The sequence below is a fragment of the Homo sapiens genome, chromosome 22 (assembly GCF_000001405.40).
Source record: "Homo sapiens chromosome 22, GRCh38.p14 Primary Assembly".
Taxonomy (NCBI): Eukaryota; Metazoa; Chordata; class Mammalia; order Primates; family Hominidae; genus Homo; species Homo sapiens.
Genome location: NC_000022.11, coordinates 48,761,372 through 48,786,131, shown reverse-complemented (window position 1 = coordinate 48,786,131; position 24,760 = coordinate 48,761,372). Strand labels below are relative to the sequence as shown.

The window sequence follows — 24,760 nt, the reverse complement described above, 5'->3', positions numbered from 1 at the left end:
GCTCCAGCACCCAGCCTGGGACATGGGGTCGCAGATGGCAGGGCAGGTGTGGGGTAAGCGGGGAGCTGTTTGGGATTCCCTGGAACTGAGTTGAGGCTCCCTTGGGTCTGTGATGTTTGCAGCAGGAGAGTGACATCCCCGAGAAGGAGAGAGGTTGGCCCTCGGGTGTGTGGTGAAGGGGCCTGAAGAATGTAGCAAACGCTGTCAGCCCCACCCCATGACACCCCCATTTTGTTTACACTTTCAGGGGATCCTTGGCCTGTCTGTTTGTACTGCTACAATAAAATATCACAGACCGGGTAATTTTTATTTATTTATTTATTTTTATTTTATTCATTTTTTTGAGGCAGAGTCTTGCTCTGTTGCTGAGGCTGGAGTGCAGTGGCGCAACCTCCGCCTCCTGGGTTCAAGCGATTCTTCTGCCTCAGCCTCCCGAGCAGCTGAGATTACAGGTGCCCACCACCACGCCGGGCTAATTTTTGTATTTTTAGTAGAGACGGGGTTTCGCCATGTTGGCCAGGCTGGTCTCCAACTCCTGACTTCAGGTGATCCACCCGCCTCGGCCTCCCAAAGTGCTGGGATTCCAGGTGTGAGCCACCGCGCCCAGCCAATTTTTAATAAACAGAAATGTATTAGGTCACGAAAGCCCCACCTCACAGGACTGCCACATTGGGGGTCGGGTTTCCAACTCAGGCTTTTGCGGGGACTCCTTCAAACCACCGCAGCCCCCAAAGGCCCTTCATGCTCCTGCTGTCCATGCTCCAGGGTGAGAAGTTGGGGAGCAGAGTGAGAAGGGAAAGGAACCCAGGACTAAATCCCGGGGGCGGGGGGTCATGGGCACCGTCGCCATTAGCTCGGCCACACTCAGCCTTAACGGAACCCACAGCCCGCACGGCTGACACAACGGCCCTGAGTCTGCACAGCCCTGGAGGCTGGGAGTCCGAGAGTAAGGTGTCGGCAGGGCTGGTGCCTGGGGAGGCCTCTTCCTGGAGGGCATGTGGCCACCTTCTCACGGTGTCTTCACACAGCAGAGACGGAGCCCTCTGTGGCCTCTTCTCATGAGGCCACCAGTCCTGTGGGATCAGGCCCTCCCTCCTACAACCTCATTTAACCCTAATCACCTCCTCACAGGCCCCATCTCCAAATACGGTCACACTGGGGGCTAGGGCTTCAACCTATGAATTTGGGCCACATAATTCAGTCCATAGCAGGCTGCAGAGGGCAGGAGGGGGCTGCAGATGTCCGCTGAGGAGGGTCCTCCTGCAGACCACCCAGGGGGAAGTTTGGGGAGAGTTCAGGGGGTCAAGGGGACCATCAGCCCTGTATTGGGAGGGACCTGGGAGCTAAGCTGTATGGCCACCCCACGTCCCATATCTTCCCAGCACAAAATGTGCCCTGCCGAGTTGATTTGCTCAGCTCACTCTTTATTTTGAAACGACGTCAAGCATGAAGAAGAGTTGCACAAATAATGCCAATAACTCCGGTGCCGCCTTCATGGGGGTTATGGTGGTTCCAGTGCACTCCACATGTCCCCCCTCTCTCTGTCCCTCTCTCTCGTGTACACACACACTGTTTCCTGATCCAAGAGTGAACCACCCTTAAATTCTTCCCAGTGTGAAGATAAAAATTTCCAAAAATCAGGAAATCCTGTCTCTTAACCAAGGCACAGTTAGCACCTTGGGACGTCCCACATGGCCCCGGGCTCTCTTCTGACCTGTGGTCCATGGTGGAGCCACGCCACGCCCCAAAGGAGGCCAGGAAGACGATGCCATGGCCCGACTGGGACCCAGGCCCTGGGCTGCTGTCCCTTCCTGGCTGTTATCTGCTTGATTATTTGCGATTTCTAGATATTTTCACAACATCAAAAAATTGTATTAATCATTTACATTCCCCACCCCATCTTTTCCAAAAATCCAGGCCACAGACGGGCCACCCTCATGGTCACGGCCTGGAGGCCCCTTGCAGATGCAGAGTTCCAGGCCCCCGCAGGCTCAGGGAACGGGAGGTTCTGGGGTCAGGGCCCCCGGCTCGGTGTTTTATGAGACTTCCTGTTGATTCTCCAGCGCAGGGAATTTTGAGAACCACCGGCTTCGCCTGCACTTTGGTCTGAAGCTTGATGTTGGTTTAACCAGGGTGTTGTGAACTGTGCTCATGACCGATGTCCCTGGAAGTATCTTAATGGAGCTAGCAGGGCCTGACTTGTACCTGGAACCTTCAAGTTCCCTTATCTGGAGCAAGGTCCACAAGCCGGCCACGCCCCAGCCCCAGGACGGCCCAAGGGCTCAGCAAGACGGCCGCTGTCAGTTCCAGAGAGACTTGTCCTCTGGGTCCCCTCTGTTTCAAACCTTTCATCCTTGGACACTTGGCGAGTTTTATGAACAGACAGTGCATTTCATTGCCGGGATTATTATTTTTTTAATTTTGAAATTAAGAATCCAAGATTCCTCTACATATTTTATGAAAAGCTCTGTCTTCCATTTAATGAGCTCTGTGTGACTAATCAGAAAATAAAACGTATAAAGTAGAATGATTTAGCCTGTAAAATGAGAAATGAAGAAAAAGAGTAGCACATTAAACTTAGATGGGCTAGGTTTTCCTGGAGTTGACCTTGGAGATGGTTTGGGGCGAGGGAAGCTTTGGGGAGGGCAAAAGGTGGCCGGCCAGGAGCAGTGGGGCATGTCCAGAGGTGGACACCTGGAAGGCGTGGTCCTGCTGGCCGGGAGCTGGCCAGTACCCGCAGCCCTGCAGCCTCCAAGAGTGGGGCAGGAGGTGACAGGCCATAGGCACCTTGGGGGTTTCACTTATGGGTCCATCCCGTTGTCAAATGTGCACAGCTGTCCCACCCAGGAGGGAATTCCAGGGATGGGCAGAGTCTCCGTGCTTCCACCCCAAAAGTGTGCCCTCTAGTGGAAGAGAGTGGGTGGAGACATATTCGAAAGAGTCGACCAAGCTGTTGGCCACCGTATTTGTTGATGGTTGGCTTAGCTTTAAAGGCTCCGGCGCTGAGCTCCCAGCTGTTCAGGTTGCAGTCTTTAATTATTTGATCTGGAGCAGAGTTCCCTTTTGAAATGCAAATTTCCTGGAGCTGAGATCTTGCCGAGCCGCCATCCTGCATCCTGAGGACTGTGTACCCCAGAGGGAGGCCTGTCTGAGAGCGCAGAGGAAGTGGGGAACCCAGAGGCCGGAGGCATCCTGGCCACAGCCCTGGGCTGGAGCCTCTCTCTTCCTCCCACCCCTGCCCTCTGTTCTCAGTGCCTGGCATTTTAAATGGCTGCATAACTGTGAAGACTGTATTTACATAAATGGCCAATAAACATATGAAAAGATGTTCAAACTCAATAGTAATCAAAGACATGCAAATTAAAGCAACAGAGATTGATACCTTTCTCTGTTTAGCAAATTGGCAAAGATTAAAAAGAACGATAATCCCTGATTTGGGTACCAGTGTGGGAATAGTTGGGCACTCTCCTCTCCAGCTGGTGGGCTTGTCAAAAGCTTCCGCTTTCCTGGAGGGGGATTTAGCAACCTGCAGCACATGCTAAAATGCAGAGACTTTTTATGCCTCTTCACCTAACAACGCCGCTGCCGAGGGTTTATCATAAAGAAATGATTCAGTGAGATGGCAAGGGTGATACGCTGGAGAAATCGCAGCATCAGTCATCACAACAAGAAGGGGGCCCATAAATGTGAGCAAGAGGAGGACACGCCATTCTTGGAGGGCCTCCGACTCTGACATACCCTAAAGAACAGGGCACATTGCTATTATCGACATGGAACAATGGCTTAGTACTACAGGATTCAGGAAGAGAGCAGGGTCCAGAGCCCTCTACATAGAACTCCCAATTCATACAAGTGTGAGCGGGGTGACTGCTATGTGCCTAAAAAATTATAGGTGCTGAAGCTTCCAGCAGACATAAGCCAACTAAGCTTTTTGCCCACAAGAAGCAAGTACAGAAAGACAATGTATTAATCTCCAGCGGCCACCGTAACACGTTACCACAGACCGGAAGACCTGACACCAGAGGTCCTGTGTCCGGCGACGGGCAGGGCCTTGCTCTCGCTGAAGGCTGTGGGCAGGATCTTTCTTCCTCTCACAGCTCCTGGTGGCTGCAGGCCTTTCTTGGCATGTGGCTGCACCACTCCAATCTCTGTCTCCGTCATCACGCCTCCTTCTAGGAGGCTGATTTTCCAAATTTTCCTCTTCGTGTAACGACACCAGTCCTTGGATTTAGGAACCACCCTAATCCAGAATGAATGCATCTTCACTTCATCACATCTGCAAATGCTCTATTTCCAAAGAAGGTCCCATTCACAGGCACTGGGGGTCAGGACTTGGACGTATCTTTTGGGGGATGGAATTTAACCCACACTCGACGGTCATTATGGGTAAAAGCCGTCCTGCTACGCACCCAGCCCTGCATGCGGAAAATCCCTTTAGCCTCCAGAGCAAACCCATGAGCAACGCAGCACTGCAGCCCCACTTCACAGACGGGAGGTTCCAGGACTCACCCAACGCTGGGGCCCACAGTGGGCAGGTGGGTCGGGGTCCTAACCCCCAGTCCCCGGGGACCCCAGAGCTCAGAGCGGCCCTGAAGACATCCTCAGGCTGCTGTGTGGCTTCGGGAGGGTGCGATTTGGAGGTGAGGATGCCCCCATCCCCACCATGCATCTCTCCTCCCCCTCCCCAAGCATGGCCCCTTACTGCTCCTAGAGATAACCGATCTCTGTCATTTTCTGGCCATAAATTCCTTGTTTTTCTTTTCAGTTTCACTGCCACGTCTACATCCCTGAAAAGCAAAGCACAGTTTAGTCTCTGTGAACTTTATACAAATGGAAGCATATTTCATTACCCTTTTGCTGCCTGCCTTCCTCCACTCAGCATCACAGGTTTGGGGATTCATCCTGCTTTTCGTAGATCTGGGGTTCCTTCCTTCCTGTCACTGAACTTACGACAGTCCATTGATTCGTTTTGCTGCTGAAGTGGCTTTGGCTTGCTCCCATTGGGGGCTGAAATGAGACCTGCTGCTGAGGCCGCTGTGCTGTGGGTCCCGCAGGATGGGGGTGAGATGCTGGGGTGCACCCCAGGTCGGGGGGGTCCCATCCGCACCATGAGCACAGCCCTCTCCTCCCTAGAAAAGGTCAGACTGGTTCCCAATGGGGCTGCATCGGGCTTAACTCAATTTTCCCCTCTGCACTTTATAGAACGCTTACACATTCGAACATGTATTGTTTAAATAATTAGATTATTTTGGAATGGTGTAAGCCAGTGGGAGAGAGACAGCAGCGTGGTCTCGTGTTGGAAAGCTTGGGCCTGGCATCCAGGCAGACAGCCACCGTCCCGTCCCTGCAGGACTCTGGGCCTGGGGTCCTCACCGGGGATTCAATGAACCGCTTCCATTACAGGGCTCAGCCGGGCCTGGTGTGAGTTCAGTACTGGGTGCAGGCTTGCTATGATTGCTGTTGTTATCAAAACAAAACCACTTTCATTTGGGAAAAATATTAAAGCCACGACAAAGGGCGGATGGACAGAGGCCTGTACACAGGGCTCCACGTTCTGCATAGGGTCCCAGGCATGCACCTTTTCCCCAGCACAGTGGCGCACGTCGGAGCCACCGCCTTGGGCTCCAGAACTGTGTGTCTTGCTCTGTCCCAACCCCCAGTGTGTGTGAATTCTGCCTGCACGGGGCCAGCCTCTTAAGAGAGAACTGTGCCCTCTCATCTCAGTGACCCAGAGCCAGCCTAGGACAGAAGCCACCCAGTGAATTAAGCTGCTCAAGCCACATCGTCCCAGCCAGGTCCACGTGTCAGAAACCAACTGTGAAGACTGGGACCCAGTTTCAGCTCAGGACTCAGTGAAGAGCCCGTGCTCCTGGGTCCCCGCCATCTCCATGGCAGCAACGTTGGCGACTGTGGCCCCTCTTTCACAAACCCACTGTTGGGGCTGAACTGCACCCCTAAAGTCCACGTGTGGAAGCCCTAACCTCCAATGCCTCAGAAAGAGGCTGTATTCAGAGAGAAGGCCTTTATAGAAGTGACGAGGTTAAAAGGAAGTTATCGGGCAGGCCCTAATCCAACAGGACCCGGGAAGAAGAGTCATTATAGAAGAGAAGAGAACGCAGACAGGCACAGAGGGACGCCCAAGAGAGGACTCAGGGAGAAGACGCCACCTTAAACCCGAGGAGAGGCCTCAGGAGGAACCGGCCCTGGCCACACACCTCGATCTGGAACTTCCAGCCTGCAGAGCCTGCGAGAACCAATGTCTGTTGTGTTTGCCGCCGGTGTGGGTTGTGATGCTTTGTTTCAGGAGTCTGGGCCGGCCCGCAAACCTGCACTGCGTCTCCTTCAAGCTCAGTCTAACTCTCAGTAAACTCATTCTGCTTTGGCTCAAAAAGGTTGATTTTTTTCCTATTTTCTTCTTTCTTTTGCTCCTCAAATCCCAGTGGGTCCCTGCAGCTACTCGGTCACTCAGGCCAATGTGGGGCTTTGCCACCAGCCCCTGTCCCCTCGGGTGAAGGTGTGAGCTGCACCGGCTACGTGAAAGCTCTGGGGTGTAAAGACCCAGTCCCCGCACAGTCCGGGCAGCCTGGCTGCAGAACCGCCGGTGCTCCGCGCCGCTGCAGGGCTCCGTGAGACCAGGGCACCTCTCGAAACCTGTTTCTCCTTCTCAAACACAGGGATCTGAGGGAGGCCTGCTTGGAAGGGTGTCATAGGGTTTAAGTGAAATGAGCAACAAGTCCAGCCACGCTGTGCGTGCCAGCAGGGCCAGGCAGGCAGGACGGGATCTCCTCTGTTGCCTTAGAGGCGAGAAGGGAAGGCGGTGGGTACCGTGGCCCCGGCTGTGCGTCTTGCAGGGCTCGACAGCAAGGGCTGAATGGGGCCAGCCCGGACTCGCGGGATCAGTGGGAACTATGGAGCCAGGCTCTCTGCTGACGTTTGGTTAAATTTCAAGTAAGTTGCTCAGAGTTTTGCAAAGTCCAAGGTCACACGAAAATAAAGGCAAATGGTCCATTTTATGATTTTACATCAGTTACTCACACGTGGGAAGCAGGCACCTCGCCGCGGAAATGGATGGATTAATCTCCCGTGTGTAGGTTCCTGGCTCAGGGAGCGGCTCCCTTTATCTGTCTTTCATGGGCTTTGCGTCCCTGGTGGGCTGGTGTCCCTGGCAATGTCTCAGGGACCAGGCTTCCAGGACATTCAACAAGCACGTGTTAGCCCCACGCCCTGCCGCCATGCCGGTCCCAGCTCTGCCTGCCTCCCCACTTCTGCCCTCGCCTCCCCAAAGGCCGACGACCCCACAGCAGCCAGGGGAGCTGCATCTTCTGGGTCACAGCATGTCCTTCTCTGCTCAGACCGTGCAGTGGCCCTGCTCCTGGAAGAACAGCAGAGTCCCTCAGGGCCTGAACCCTCCAGAGTCTCCACTCCCATCGCTCTCTGACCCTACCTCCTGCCACTCCTCCCTAGGGCCCTGCATCCCTCCACTTCCCTCTCCTCCTGTGCCTGGAGCATGAAGAAGGCCCACTGCCGAGGCCTCTGCAGCTGCGGCCACCTCCTTCCCCAGCTGCACGGGCTGCGGCCACCTCCTTCCCCAGCTGCACTCAGGGCTCTTCCTCGCCTCCTTCAGGTCTTTGCTTAAACACCCATAACCTGTGTGGCCTTCCCTGGCCTCCCACTGGAAACAGAATCCTTGATCCAGCACCCCCAAACCCAGCACTCCACCCTGACACCCCTCCTGGCCCGTTTCACTTTTCCCCATGGTGCCTCTTGCGTCTAACATAGTTTACACGGTAACTTCAGGAAAGGGCTTGTTTGGGTCTGTGTAATGAGTGCTACATCCTTGGTACCCATAACAGGCACGGGAAGGGCAGCTCTGGGTTCTCACCTCCCGAATCCCGAGCTCCGTGAGACCCTGCTCGGGTAGCTTCACCTCCCTGGGACGCAGAAGAGCTTGTTAGAAATTTGCTGCGCCGTGAACCACCGTGACAGTGTGCTGTCTCTCCTCTCCTGATGCCAGTGAAAACCAGGAGAATAAAAAGCTGGGAACAGCAGCCACCCGCAGTGAGGGGCATTTCTTACTCTGGACTTTAATATACTTGTAAAATCAAAATGCTAAGGGGTCACAATTAGATAGGGGCAGAGAAGCCAGGGTCACTTCCACAGGCCTCAAGAGAATCAGCCACACTCACTTGGTTTCCAAAGCAGCTGGCTCACCCTGGGAACCGGAACCAACAGCTGTACGTGTGAAAAAACAGAAAGAGGTGTGTGCACAGGCTACAGGGGACTCCCGAAAACCAGTGACACCACGAAGCGCCACGAAGCTGGCAGGGAGCAAAGAATGCATGACCTGCCATCTTTACAGGAGACAGTGGGTCCCATATGTGATGGAAACAAGGATTCATGTGGACAGGAAGCAGCTTTGAACTACTGATACAACATGTGGAGGCTAAGACCAGACCGATGTCATATGGAACACAACATGTCTGTCCACACAGACACAGACGCACACCCTGTATCACTCAGTGCTTAACTGGCAGCCAGAGAGAAGATGTGGATGTGCCGACCACGTACATACTTTGGCCCCTTCTCCGCACGGTCTTTCTGCAGATACCTGGCCTGAAAATAGCTCTCCTCATTCAAACACAAGTAAAAATAACAAGAAAAAATAGGAATAATGTAGAGGAGGAAACTAAAAATATATTACAGAAAAATTTGGTCAGGGAGAGGACTGAAAAATATTATGAAGAAAAAATAGCATCACATGGATTTAAAGATGATGGTTTTTTTTTTAAGTTATAATAAGTCAGGAAATAAAAGCCTTAAAAGCAGAGACACAAGAGCTCATGGAGGCAATAATAAAACAGAAGAAAAGTATAAAAATAATTTGGCAGACCTTGGGAGGAAATGACAAAGATCAAGAAAGCCATCACAGAGAAGGCTATATTTGAAGCATCATAAGGCTGGAACAGCCATACCCAGGGGAAAATAGGCTTAAAAAACTTGAGCAAATGAAATAATTTTAGTTTTTAAATATAAGAAAAATACAATAGCAATAAAAGACAAGGAAGATTTCCAAAATATATATAACGGTTAGCCCTGAAGAAGAGGAAATGAAATTACTGGTCTTGAAAGATACAGAAATAATACTGAGGGAATTCACACCCCCTAAAGCTGTCAAAGGACTTTTCCATAGGAGATTTCAGAAGTGTGTGAAGCAGTTTCCGTAAAGACTTCATTAAAAAAAAGTCATTCAATAATTTTATACCTTGCTAAACTATTATTCCAGTATAAAGATATATATATATGCAAGAAGTCCCATAAACTTTATTGAAGACATTGCTAACAGACAAAAGTCATCCAGCTAAGAGCTTAAGAAATAGTCTATGGAAAATAAATTGGTAGTGAGGTTTGTATGAAGACTTGTAAGTTAATACTAAAGCTAAGACTGTGAAAATGATGGTTATGGAGTGATAACTGTTCTAAGCCCTAGTAATATAGAAATTACATAACTAAGCAGTGGGTGGATGAAAAAGGCAAGCTAGAGGCTGAATAAGCAGATTTCATCATCATTCTTAGTACAGGAGGTCAGCAGTTGTGGTGTAAAGCGCACAAATCATATAAAAGATGGATGATTGTATTGTATAAGAACATAAAGATGGCCAGTAAAGTATGTGAGGATCATGATGGAGCCAGCAGTACCACACAGTGCATGCTGACCCCAGGCTCTCCAGCCCCCTGGTTTGTAGCAAGACTTGGCCAAGGGGGAGACCCAATGACAGATCAAAGAGATGGAAGAGAGTGGGGTGAGGGAGTTCACTCCCCAGGTTCACTCCCTTAATGTCCCAGAGCTGCTGTGTCCATTGACAGAAGGCCACTGCCCCTCTCAAGGTGGCTGCTTTATCCATCACTTTTATTTTCCAGGTTCCAGTAACCCCTCTGTCCTAGTAGTCATTTGGCCTAAGTGCTGGCTCTTCCTACATTAAATTCACACAGACAGAGAGAGAAACAGAGAGAGAGGAAGACAGAGAGAGAGAAAACTTGCTTTTGATAAAAAGCAAGAAAGGAGGTGGAGAAAGCAAAGAAACTCAGATAAGGCAGAAAAAATATCATAAAGTTGTGTATACATAGATAATATTCAAATATAACTAGTTATAGCAAGTGTAAAGATTTCATTTTTAAAAAATGGTCATATACTAAGTATGTAACATACCTAAAATATAACAAAAAAATATTGAAAGTAAAGAGGACAGAGCCTTGGAAGCAAATGAAAATCAAAGCTGCCTTGGTGTAGCTATATTCAAAGCAAAATGAAAGTTCTAGGGGTGAGGAAGGCTATTTTACAATAAAAAAGTCAAATCCATCAGGAGAACACTTTGCATGCACATGGTGTAGTCCCAAATTTTATAATGCCAAAGTTAATAGAACTGCAAGGAGAAGTAGATAAATCCATCCCCATACTGGAAGATTTTCATACAGCTTTCTCAGTAAATCAAGACAGCAAAACTATTTATAAGCATATAAAAATGGAAACAACACAATTAACAAATAGATCAGATGAAAATATAAACTATAGAATCCTGTACCTCAAAATTGCAGGATATTCTTTATATGTATACACAGAACACTCATGAAAATTTACCTGTATTAGAACATAAGTCAAATCTCAACATAGTTCCAAATAAAGTATTACCATTAAACAGAGTATATTTTATGAACATAACTACATTGTAAGCTAATGACACACAGGTAACACACAGTTATTAATGAAATGGTTAAACAGACTGTGGTATGTCCATACCATGGAACGCCACTCAGCAATATAAAGAAACATGCTGTTAATACAGGCAACAGTCTGGGTGAATCTCCGGGCAATTGTGTGACACACAGAAAGTCAATCTCTAAAGGTTACATCGTGGATGATTGCACTTATATACAATTTTTTAAATGACAGAGATTTAGAAATGGAGAAGAGAATAGAGGTTGCCCAGGTTGCACGGGAGGAGGAATGGGAAGAGAGTAGCTATGACAGAGGAAGGTAATCGATGGGATGTCTGTGGGGTTGGAACTGTTAGGTATCTTGATGGTGGTGTTGGGTACATGAACCTACAAAGAGGATAAAATTGTATAGAACTCATCGCGCACACACACACACACACACACGCACACACAAATGAGCACAGGTAAAACTGAGGAAACCTTAATCAGCTCAGTGGCTTCTGTCACTGGGTTGTGCTACTGTACTAGAGTTTTACATAACATTTGTACTGGGGACGGGGTGGGGGAGTGTACATGGGCTCTCTCTGTATAATTTCCTACAACCGCATGTGAATCTACAATTATCTTAATAGAAATTTCAACTAAAAATTCTCTACATTAAAACTTGAAAATTAACTTTGGTTTAAAGAATGCACAGAAGTGGGAGCTGTATGATACTTATATTTAGATAATCAGACAAAACTGCAGATGAAAGCTCTATAAAAACGCCGGGCGCATTGGCTCACACCTGTAATCCTAGCACTTTGGGAGGCTGAGGTGGGCAGATTGCCTGAGCTCAGGAGTTTGAGACCAGCCTGGGCAACATGGTGAAACCCTGTCTCTACTAAAATACAAAAAAAAAAAAAATTAGCCAGGCGTGACGGTGTGCGCCTCTAGTCCCAGCTACTTGGGAGCCTGAGGCAGGAGAGTTGCTTGAACCCAGGAGGCAGAGGTTTGCAGTGATCCGAGATCATACCACTGCACTCCAGCCTGGGCAACAGAGCAAGCCTCCATCTCCAAAAAAAGAAAACAAAGTTATACAAAAACTGACAAGCTGGGGATTTCCCAGCCAAGGGCTCCTGCAAACCACCTGGCAGTAAAATCAAAAGTCAATGCATTTTGCCCACACACAAAGAGCTTCCAAACAGCTTTGAGGACCACTGCTCTCAACCAGTCAGGATGGTCAAGTGTAAGGAAGGCCTGCAACATGAAGATGGAGGCCACAGCCCAGAATCAAAGCAGACTCACTGGGAGAAAACGGGGACTTAACAGAGTGAAGAAACTTTCCAGAAAGCATCCAATACTCCAGAGAAATAAGAAAAATATTGCAATAATAAAAGGAGAGCAAGAAGCTATCTACACACGAGGAACATTGAGAGAACAAGAGCAAAATAGCTGATGGAAATTAAAAACATAGCAGCCCAAATGAAAACTCGATAGGAAGGTCTGGAAGATAAAGCTGAGGCTATTTCACAATCTTACTAAAGGTTAGCAGAGATAAAGAGACAAAGATGAAAAACTAACAAATGAAATTACACCAGTTTAGAAGGCCAAACATCCAAATAAGAAAAGTGACAGGGGAGAATGCTAAGAAAGGACATGAGATGATAGATCAAGAAGGCTCAATAAGGGCTGGGCGCAGTGGCACAGGCCTGTAATCCCAGTACTTTGGAAGGGCAAGGCAGGTAGATCATCTGATGTCAGGAGTTCGAGACCAGCCTGGTCAACATGGGGAAACCGTGTCTCTACTAAAAATACAAAAATGAGCCAGGCGTGGTGGCTCATGCCTGTAATCCCAGCTACTCAGGAGGCTGAGGCAGGAGAATCACTTGAACCCAGGAGGTGGAGGTTGCCATGAGCCAAGATCGTGCCATTGCACTCTAGCCTGGGTGACAGAATGAGGCTCCCTCTCAAAAAAAAAAAAAAAAAAAAAAGAGAGAGAGCTCAATAAGAATCCAGCATGTGGGTCCCACACACTGGCTCACGCCTATAATTCCAGCAGGTTGGTAGGTCAAGGTGGTCAGATCACTTGAGCCCAGGAGTTTGAGACCAGCCTGAGTGACATAGTGAGACCCTGTCTCTACAAAAAATAAAAAAGATTAGTCAGGCGTGGTGGTACATCAGCTACTTGGGAGGCTGAGGTGGGAGGATTGCTTGACTAGCCCAGGTCAAGGCTACAGTGACCTAGGATTGCACCACTGCACTCCAGCCTGGGCAACAGAGTGAGACCCTGTTTAAAAAAAAAAAAAAAAAGAAGCCAGCACATGAATGAAAATAGACCCACACCAAGATTCATTGTGGTGAAATTTCAAACCAGAGCACAGACTGTATTCTACAATCTTGTATATAGACAAGAGTTGGATAAAGGGACTGGGAATCAAAAAGACTTAGGGCTTCTCAATAGCAACACGGGAGTCATTGACCCAATGGAGCACCACGTTCAGAAGGTGGAAGGAAGGTAGCTTCCAAACACAAATCCTTTACCTGGCCAGACCCATCAGTATGTATCTGAGGAACATGAAACCCACTTTGGATGGGCGGGATCCCAAACGCTTGCCTCCTTTGAACTCTTCTCGAAACTCCAGAGGAAGCGCCCCACTGAATGGAGAGTAACCCGTGGGGAGGCTGCCCCAGGACCCAGTGGACACCTGGCCTGATGCAGGATGGTGAGAGATGTCGGCAGGGACAGGAACAGCTCTTCACCACATGCAGGAGTTCACCCGCCCAGATGGGAGCATACCCCTAGAAACAGCAACTTCAGGTGAACCCCAGCCTCATCGCCGTTGTGCCATAGACTCTTTGCTGTGGGCTTCCCTTGGCCGTGTGCCAATGAGTTTTTCACTCTCCTCTGCATGACCTGAATTTTGGGCCAGCGGAGGGCCTGCGTCCTAACCTGCACTGTTGTTCTGCTTTGACCGAATCCTGAGAGCCGGAGGACTCGGCTAGCCAGAGACACATTTCCCTGCCTGCGTTCCTCTGGGACATACAGCCCTGAGTCAGGACATGGCCCCCATCCCCACCCCTGCCCCCCTCCCTCGCCAGCTGCAGAGGTCCTCAGGTTCCACGGAATTCCACAGGAGGCTCCGGTAAACTCTCCAAGAGGCTGAGACTGTGCTTTTGCCTACCAGCTCCCTTAGCTTGCCTTCCTCCAGTGCCTTCATCTAAACAGCTGTAATATGACTCTTTCCTTAGGAAGCTAGTTTTGTCCTTAATACTCACGTTTTAAACTAAATAATATAATGTTTACAGATGCACAAAGAAATATAAGAACATACTTGTACATATTCAGAACAACGGTAACTCTGGGGACATAAAATTAGAAGAGATGGGTGGGCTGAGGACATGGGGGCTTCGAAAGTGTTGGTCGGGATTTGATTCTTAACACAGGTGTTGGAAGAGAGAGTGTTTCATTTTTGCTGTTGTTTAAACAGTTCATATACAATTCTGAATGCATGATAAATTTCATAGTAAAGACATCAAACATAAGAGAACTTTACAAATAAACATGTGAAGACCGATAAATGTGAAGACTTAGTTAAACTGAAAACATTCCTGGAAAAAATATAACGTCAAAAGATGACCCAAAAAGAGATAGCAAGCATAAATAGACCTATAACATTGAGGAAACTGGATCCGTATTTTAAAGCCCACCCATAGTACATGTTCGATTTTAAAAAGAGGCATGCGTGGTTTTATGGGTGACTTCTACCAGCCAGTCAATGAATAGATCATTCCAATTTCATAAAGAATTTTCCACACAATAAAAAATGAAAGAACTCATTTTATGAGGTGAGTTTAATTTTGATTCGAAGCCAGGGAAGGACAGTATAAAAAGGGAAAATTGTAGGTCGATATAATTTACGAGCATAGATTTTTAAAAATCATTCAAAATATTAACAATTCAAATGTGGTAACCCACTAAAAAAAATCACTCATGACCAAATTGGATTTTGTTAGGAGTAAAAGAATACATTAACACCACATGCTATAATTCACTACATAAAAATCATGCAACTATTGAAATAGATACAAAAAGTACATTTCAAAAATTTAACTCAATTTTTAATAAAAGCTCTGAGAAAGCTATAAAGGGGAAAGAACTTTTAAAACTTGATATAGGTTATCTACAAAAATTCACAGCAAATGCAGTACTTCAGGATACAACCTCCAGACACCTTGTCTTTAAAATCTGGAACAATCCAAGGATACTTGAATACAGTAGAGTAAAACAAGAGAAATAAATAAAAGGTATAAAAAGGAAAAAAAATGACATTAATGCCAGTTTCATTGCATCAACGGACATATTATTCAAATTAATAAAAGTTTCCCAAAGTCTCTGTGTGTAAAAACAAAAGAAACAAAAATTTAAGGCACAAAAGTCTGTTAAAGAGAAAATAATAAAGTGTTGCTGAAGGACAGCGAGAAGACCCAAATAAAGGCAAAGATCTATTATGTTCATTTATGTGAAGGCATAAATGAAGGCGAAGATCTATTATGTTCAACATCTTTAAAATGTCAGTTGTCCCACTTTAATTCATAAATTCAATGCAATTCTCATCAAAATTCTTACAAGACTTTTTATGGAACTAGACAAACTGAAATTAAAATGTATATGTTCAATATGTGCTAATTAGAAGAGTCATTCCTCAAACTTACAGACCTGCAAAGACTAGAAGTGGAAGGATGGAAAAATGACCTTTCAGAAAAATGCTCACCAAAAGAAACTTGGTATGACTACCTTAATAACATTCAATAAACCTTAAGACCAAAATATTATTTTTCATAAAGAGGGTTATGACACAGATATAAATATTTTAATTTCACATTAAGATATAGCAATATTTACCATGCCTACTCTTAGCAAAATAGCCTCCAAACATATACAGAAAGAAATAAATAGACTTACAGGGAAAAAGTAATCCAATATCTATACTCTAATCCATAAATTAGATGTAAACAATAGTATTCTAGTGGGATATTTCAACACATTCTATGTATAGGTCAAGCAGAGGAAGAATCTGCAAGGGTAACTTACAGGGAAATAATTAGAGTTAGGCAACCAACAGATAAAGAATATTTTTTCCAAGTATACATATAAAAATATACAAAAATCGATTGTGCATGAGGTCATAAAGAGAGTCTCTGTGTATGTCTAAATACAGACCCTCCCTGACTTACCATGCTTCCATCTAACGATTTTGTTGACTTTATGATGGTGCAAAAACGATTCCATTTTCACTTTCAGTACAGCATTTAATAAAGTGTACAAGACATATAATACTTTATTACAAAATGGGCTTTCTTTTAGATGATTTAGCACAACTGTAGGCTAATGTAAGTATTCTGACCATATTTAAGGTAGGCTAGGCTAAGCTACAATGTTGAGTAAATTAAGTGTGTGTACTATTAAATGTATTTTTGACTTACAATATTTTCAATTTTTAATGGGCTTATTGAGACATAACTCCATCTTAAGTTGAAGAGCATCTCTTTGTGTGTCTGTGTGTGTGCGTGTGCAGAACAAGATCTCTGACCACCATGCAATCAAGCTTTTAAAACAAAAAGACAAGTTAAAAATCACCCACATATTTAGAAATTGAAACACCATTACTAAACAACTCCTGGGTTCAAAATAATTAAAAGAATTAAAATGTAAAAGGATCCATAACTGATTTACAATATAGACACTACATATCACAACTTTGTGGGTTTACTCTTCCGGTATAGCAGTGTGAGCCTCCACAGAACCGTCCTATTGCTAATAATAACTATAAACAATAGACAGAGTGCAAAATCCAACTACCTAAGTAAACTAATGAATACACCAAAAGAAGGCAGACTGTGGAGTGGCACCAAAACTTGGAGAAGCAATTGACTAGGGAGTGAGTTTCTCCTTGTTGGTGGCTTTACCGAGTGTGGACCACAGTCAAGGAAAGGTGCACAGCAAACAGCTGGAACTCTGTCTGGCCTGAAATGGAGGGAAGGAGTTCTGGGAGATTTCCACTGGTGAACAGTAAGCAGGTAAAACTGGAGGAAAGAGAGTCAGAGAGGGAGAGCCTCTATTTCCATGTATGAGTCCCACACATGTCTCAGGTAGACCATTAGACCAGGCAGGCAGAGGACAGGATTAAAGCAGCACACTAAAATTTTAGAAAATTCAACTGAAATGTAAACCTCCATCTTCAAAAGGTGGTTCAGGGCTAAGAGTCTGAATCTTACTGGATTAATAGCTTAAAAAAATCAACACTCTTCAGAGGAATATATCAGAATGCAGAATGAACAAAGTGTACAGAATGAAATCCAAAACAAATTGACATATATGCAAAACAAAATAGAAAAATGTGACAAATTATCAAGGGACAGTAAAATCAACAGTCTAATGCCCTGAGATAAACGAGATGTCTGAATTATCAGAAAATAACTTGAAACCTACTATTATATCTACACTTAAAAGTAAAGAAAAATATATTTGAAATAAATCAAAAGATAGTAAATCTTAGCAGAGACACAGAAAATATAAAAAAGAAACAAGTGTAAAATTTAGGGCAGAAAAATACAATATATGAAATAAATAAATCACTGGACTGAGCTCTGTAGCAGACAGAAGATGACAGAGGAAATTGGTTAAATCAGCAGAAACTAAGAAGAGATATATAAAAGATTTTTATAAAATTAACAGAGCCTCAGAAACTTGAAAATAATATCAAAACATCTAATATACATATCCTTGGAGTTCCAGAAAGAGAACAGAGATAAATTTGGTCAGAAAATAGTATTTTAAGATTCAATGGCCAAAAACATCCCAAAATTGGTGAAAGACATGAATTTACTGATTCAAGAATCTCAGCAAACTCCAACTAGAATAAATCCAAATAAAACTATGTTTAGACATAGTAAATAAAATTGCTTTTAGGGAAATTTTTTAAGTGGCTGAGAGAAAAATGATGCATCGGATACTGGATAAAAACAATTCAAGAGACTATGCATTTCTCATCAGGAAAGTGGAGGCCAGAAAATCACGTATCAACATCATTAAAGTGCTTAGAGTGAGAGAAAAGAAAAAAAAATTATCAACTTAGAAATCCATGGCCTCCGAAAATATCCTTCAGTAATGAAGGTAACATAGCAGCATCTTCAGCTAAAGGAAACGAAGGTAATTTGTTGCCATTAGACTTTCGTTATAAGAAATGCTAAAGGGAGATCTTGGGCTAATGTGAAATGATATCAGAGGGAAATTTAGATTTTTCCAGGGATGAATGAAGATCATTTGAAATGATAAATATCTGGGTAAATATTTAAAAGATCATTTTTCTGTTAAATGAATTTGTATAACTATATAAAGCCAAAATTAGTACAATGTCTGAAGGGGTTTGTAATGTTTGAAGATGTAACACATAAGTCAGCTATAAAGTAAATGAATGTAGCGGATGAGAAAAGGGAATCCATATGGCTGCAAGGTGCCTAGATTTTATGTGAAGTGGTCCAACATTGACTTGGAGTAGATTGTGAGATATTAAACATGTATACTCTAATCCATACAGCAACCTCTAAAAAGAAATAAGACAAAGATGAATGGTTAGATGCTAAAGGATAGTTGAAATAAAATTATAAAAAATATTTTTTAATATAAAAGAATGCTGGAGCAGAAGAAGAAATGAAAAGAGGGTACAAAAAACAAAAAACAATTAAATGGTAGACTTAAATATATAGGTATATTATCAATCATTACATTACATGATAATGGTCAAAAACTCCCATTTAAAAAACAGAGATCACCAGATTTTAAAAATCAGTATGTAACTATATTATGCCTATAAGAAATATATTTTAAATCTAAAGACACAGACAGGTGGAAAGTAAATGGATAGAAAAAAAATATATAGCATGTAACGAGTAAGCATAAGATAACTGGGCTGACTATATGAGTATCAGATAAAATACACTTCAGTATTATTTTACCACAGTTAAGAGGGACATTTCATGAGGATAAAAGGGTTAATTTCTCAGGAAAAGAAAAGAATGACAAAACTGTAGGCTAATTACAACAGAGCCTTTAAATACATGAAGCAAACATTAATAAAATTAAAGGGAAGAATATACAATTCGAAGTAGGAGACTTTAACACCGTCTTTCAGAATCCTAAAGGAATTAAACAAAGAACAGGGAAGATAGGCAGGATTTGAACACGCATACCAAACATTTTCAACTAATTGATATTTAGAAGCATTAAGAAAAAATTTTCAGAATTAAAATAAAAATGGAGAATTTCACATTATAATAGATTTTAACAATTTTCAGCAATTCATTAAAAAACTTGACAAAAATTCAGTAAGGAATATTTGAACAGCATTATCAACTACTTTCCCCTATTTGATATTTATAAAACATTATACCCAACATTTATAAAAGGCATATCTATTTCCAGTTAGTATAATGCATTTATGATTCACCATGATGGGAAATGTAATTGGCCATAAAACTTTTAGCTTCAATAAATTTAAAAGTATTAAAATTATACAGAATACTTTCTCTGATTGCAATGGAATTAATTTAGAGATTAATAACACTACACATTTAGAAAATACAGAAATATTTAGAAATTAGGACAATTCATGGGTCAAAAAGAAATAACCAAGGAAATTAGATTAACTGAACAATAATGAAAATACAACAGATCAAAATTGTGCGATGCAGAAAAACCAATGCTTTAGAGTGAAACTTACAGCTTTAAATGCTGATATTAATGGATACTAGGCTTAATGTCTGGGTGACGAAATAATTGGTACAACAAACTGTGTAGCAAACCTGCACATCCTGCACATGCATCCCTGAACTTACAAGTTAAAAATAAATAAATAAATAAAATAACACAAAAAGAAACATTAAAATGAAACAATATTATTTGCGTGTATGTATACACACACACCAGGGCCTCAAATAATATTGTTTGATATTGATTGATACTGGTCAATTCCTAAGTTTTTATTGGAGTGTTTATTCTATTTGCTTATTACTCTATTTATTCTTTTTTTAAATAAAACTCAACTTTAATCTGGAAATATATATCATTATATTTAATAGCTACATAAATATATGAAATTATATACAATATATATTATAATATATTATTAATAATATTATGATAATATATACTATATAACAATTATATAGTATGTATTCTATATATTATATATAATTTACATATATTATATGTATCTCCAGATTAAAAAGTTGAGTTTTATTGAAAAAATAAGAAAAGAAAAATGAAACACAAAAGTTTTCATCTTAATAAGCTAGAAAAAGGGTAGAGTAAACCCAAAGTATTACAGAAAGAAGAAAATAATAAAGGTAAGAACATAGATCAATGAAATAGAAAAGAGACAGGTGTGGGGTGAGGAGGGATAGAAGGATACATTGAGGAATGGCAGATATGTTCATTATATTGATTGCCGCTATTATGGATGAAATGTTTATGTGCCCCCCACAATTCATATATAGAAGCCCAAACCCCCAGTGTGATTGTGTTTGGAAATGGGACTTTGGGAGGTAATTAGGGTTAGACGAGGTCATGAGGGTGGGGCCCTGGTTTGATGGGATTAGTGCCTTTATAAGAAGAGATATTACAGCACTTGCTCTCATGCTGTGTGCACACATCAAGGACAGCCATGTGAGCACGCAGCAAAGAGGCTGCCATCTGCGAGCCAGCGAGAGAGCCCTCATCAGGAACCAAGTTGGCCAGCACCTTGATCTTGGACTTCCCAGCCTCCAGAACTATGAGAAATGAATTCCTGTTGTTTAAATCATCCAGTCAGGTATTTTATTACAGCTCAAGCAAATCAAGATAGTGATTGTTTCAAGGGGGTATATATATCAGACTTACCACGTGGTACGCTTTAAATGTGTGCAGTCAGTTACATGCTAACCATACCCCTAAAAAGCCACCTTTTGATTTTTTTAGTGAGCTTTTGGTTTCATTGATTTTCTTTATTACTTATTTATTTTCTCTCTTATTGGTGTCTGCTCTTTGTTATTTGGATTCATTCTGCTCTTCATTTTCTAGCTCCTTAAGGTGGAAGCTTACATTCTAGACTTTTTCCTCCTTTCTAATAGAAGCTTCTAAAGCTATACATTTTCTTTAAGCATTTCATTAGCAACATTGCAGAGATTTTCATAAATTGTCCTTTTGTTATCATTCAAATAAAAATATTTAAATGTTTTCAATTAAATATATACAATTTAAATTTCCCTTTTTTTCTTAACCTGTGGTTTGGTTATTCTAACCAAGTCTGGTATTTCCAAATTTCAGAATTTTTCAGATATTCTTATTGATTGCCAATTTAATTCTATCGTGATCAGAGAACATATACTGTTTGATTTTCAGTCTGGATTTTTTTAAAGATTTGCTTGATTGTCTAATATTTGGTCTATTTTGATTCATCTTCAGTATGTCTTGGAAAGATTTTGTGTAGAGTTAACACCTTACATCTATTAAGATGGCTAAAATTAATGAACACTGATCAGATATATTACAACCACTTTTGAATACAGTTTGGCAATTTTAAAACATATAAGCACACCCATATATGATTCAGCTGTCCCATTCCTAGGGGTGCTCTATTTGCTGTTTCTGCGAGTGTTGATTACATACTGACTGATGTTGTCCAAGTCTTCTACATACTTGACGATTTTCTATCTGTTTGTCCTATTGATTACTAACAAAGAAGAAATAAAATCTCCATTTATCATGGTTAAATTGTTGATTTTTCCTCTCAGTTCTGTCAGCTTTTGCTTCATGTATTTTGGAACTTTATTATCAGGCACATATGCATTTATGATTTTTTTCCTGCTATATTGACGCTTTATTATTGTTAAATGTTCTTTTTGTCTATAGTAATATTCTTTGTCTAAAGGTATACTGCATTTAATATCAACAAATGCACTCCAGATTTCTTATGCTTACTGTTTTCATGATATGTCTTTTCCATCCTTTTACTTTCTTTTTTTTGAAACGGAGTGTCGCTCTTGTTGCCCAGGATGGAGTGCAATGGCAAGATCTCGGCTCACCGCAACCTCCACCTCCCGGGTTCAAGTGATTCTCCTGCCTCAGCCTCCTGAGTAGCTGGGATTACAGGCATGTGCCACCAGGACTAGCTAATTTTGTATTTTTAGTAGAGATGGGATTTCTCCATATTGGTCAGGCTGGTCTCGAACTCCCGACGTCAGGTGATTGGCCTGCCTCAGCCTCCCAAAGTGCTGGGATTACAGGTGTGAGCCACCGTGCCTGGCTACCCTTTTACTTTCAACCTATCTGTGTCTCTGTAGTAAAGTTTTTCTGTTTAAAGCACATATTTTCTTCTTTTTATTTTATTCCATCAGTCATTTCTTGAGTTTTTATTGGAATGTTTATCTATTTTTATTTATTTATTTATTTATTTATTTATTTATTTATTTATTTATTGTTTGAGACAGAGTCTCACACTGTCGCCCAGGCTGGGGTGCAGTGGCACGATCTCGGCTCACTGCAAGCTCCGCCTCCTGGGTTCACACCATTCTCCTGCCTCAGCATCCCGAGTAGCTGGGACTACCGGCGCCCACCACCACGCCTGGCTAATTTTTTATATTTTTAGTAGAAATATTTTTAATTTAACTATCGATATGTTTGGACTTAAGTGCCACTTTGCTATTTCTTTTCTATTTTCTCATTTTCCTTCCTATATTATTCCTTTTATGTCTTTGCTTGTGGCCATCAAATGTTTTAAGCAAACCATTCAATTCCATTTCTAGGTAAAATTTCTTTGCAGTATTTTCTAGTGGTTCTGCTAAGGATCATATCATGTCAGCACAATCACCTTAAAGTTAATTAATATTAAATGATTTCTGAACAAATGAGGACACTTTCAAGGGACTATGTTCTATTGTACCACCTATCCTTTGGGCTATACAGTGTAATACAGAGATATATTAAACCTCTGTCAATTTTAACCCTACGATAGTGTTATAATCTTTATTTTAAATAGCCATGTGTGTTCTATAGAAATTATAAGATTACGCACACATGTATCTATCTTTATATCATACTTCAGCATTTCTTGCAGTAAAATCCTATTAATAATAAGTAATTTTTCTCACTTTTATTTTGTCTGTATTTCACCTTCATCTTTGAAGAATAGTTTTTCTAGATATAGAATCTTTGGATGACGGATATTTCCCTTCCTCCACACTTTCATGTCTCCTCAACATCTCTGGCCTCCACTGTTTTGGATGAAAAGTCAGCCATTAATCATGTCATTGTTCCTCTCTATGAAATGGACCATTTTTCTCTTGCTGCTTTCAAGAATTTCTCCTCTCCTCACTTTGTGTTTCAGAGATTTGACTATCATATAATCTAGTTGTGGTTTCTTATGTTTATCCTACTTTGGTTTGTTGATGTGAATAGTTCTATAAATATTCTCACCGGTTTGGGAAGTGTTGGCCTTATTTCCTCAATTTTTTTTAAATTGTCTACTGTATTTTCTCTTTTCTCTTTCTGGGGCTTTTATTTCACCCATGTTGGACTCCCCGATATTGTTCTCAAGGTCGCCGAAGCTTTTAAATGTCTTCTCAATCAGTTTCTGTCTGTTTCTCAGATTGGACAATTTTTATGGATCTATCTTCAGGTTCACTGATTCTTTCTTCTGCTGTTTCTGATCTGCTCATTGAATCCATCTGGTACGTTTTTCAATTTATTTTCTGATATTGTATTTTTCACCTCTAAAACTACAATTTAAAAAACAGTTTTCATTTCTCTGTTGAAATAGTCTACCTATTAACTCATTAATACCACACATTTCTTTAATGATTTATACACATTTATATTAGCTCCTTTGATGTCTTTGCAAAATCCAACATAAAAGCTGTCTCAGAGTGGGTTTCCATGCCTGATTTTTTTTCACATTTGACTGTTTCTCTGCATGTCTAGTACACGTTGGAGGGAGGCTTGCCAATGGAAGTAATATTTTGTAGACGCTCTGAAATGTCTAAGCGTTGTTTCTGTGTTACCCTAGGCAGCTAATCCGCCTGCTTTCAAAGCTGTCTTCCCTAAAAAATGCAGAAGGTGGCCTCTGCTTGTCTTCGTTGTTGCTGTTTTGTGAGAGAGAGGGAGCGTGTGGCTGTTTATTTTTTATCCTGGTCCCATGTATTAATCCTACAACTGTGTGGTTTAGCGATCAGCTATGTATTCGGGCAGTGTACGTACTCAGATTTGGGGGCTCACCCCCTCTCTAAGAGCCTTGCTGCTGAAACTACCCCTTAATTCTTAGTTGCTCTGCCATCCCCAGTTTCTTCCTGCTTTAAGGTAGAACAGCTTCCTCTTTCAGTAACAGGGACCAGTGTAGGCTGGGGAATGAACTCTGCCAAGGGTACAGAATTCTTCTGAATATCATCAGAAGCCTTTTCCGTCTAATTTCCGCCTCATTCCTCCAGGTCCCCCGTGCTCATTTCCTGTTTAGGAGTCAGCCAGGGATTTGGGCAAAGTTTGACTCCGACTTGAGGTCTCAGCCCATCTGCGCTTTCTTGCTTACAGATCTTCTCCGTGCACTTCCAGCTGCTCTGTGTCGTCCGCCCCCTGAAGCTGCAGAGCCGGTGGTTTTCCTATCACTACAGGTGGGGTTTTAGGAGCCACCTCCAGCAAGAAGCCACAAACCGGGCGTCCTTACCTGACGCGGATGCATCCCTTCCAAAATCACTTCTCAGTTTCTTCCTGCCCTTGTTCATGTTCCAGTGCTTCCAAATGGTTGCTTTGGATCATCGTGTTTGGATGTTACTGTTGTTGGCCCTGAGTGGATCTCCTGCCCCATCGTCCTCACCTTCCCCTGCTAATTCCTTCCTGAACCTCCAAGAGTCCACCTAGGATTTTATTTTTTTTCTGTCTCATTTTTCAGTATTTCCTTGAGTAAGACCCTTTTTGGAATCTTTTTCTGTCCATTTTCATTTTTCTGCAAGTACGTATCTTTATTTTACCCTCGTTTTA

At 42.7% G+C, this 24,760-nt stretch overlaps 1 non-coding gene across 1 annotated transcript; it reads right to left on the bottom strand.

The window, feature by feature from the left end:
- Positions 1–5,778: 5,778 nt before the first annotated feature.
- On the bottom strand, positions 5,779–5,837 carry MIR4535 (microRNA 4535). Its single transcript, NR_039761.1, has one exon. It is a non-coding gene; the product is annotated as a microRNA 4535 (primary transcript).
- Between the last annotated feature and the right edge of the window lie 18,923 nt (positions 5,838–24,760).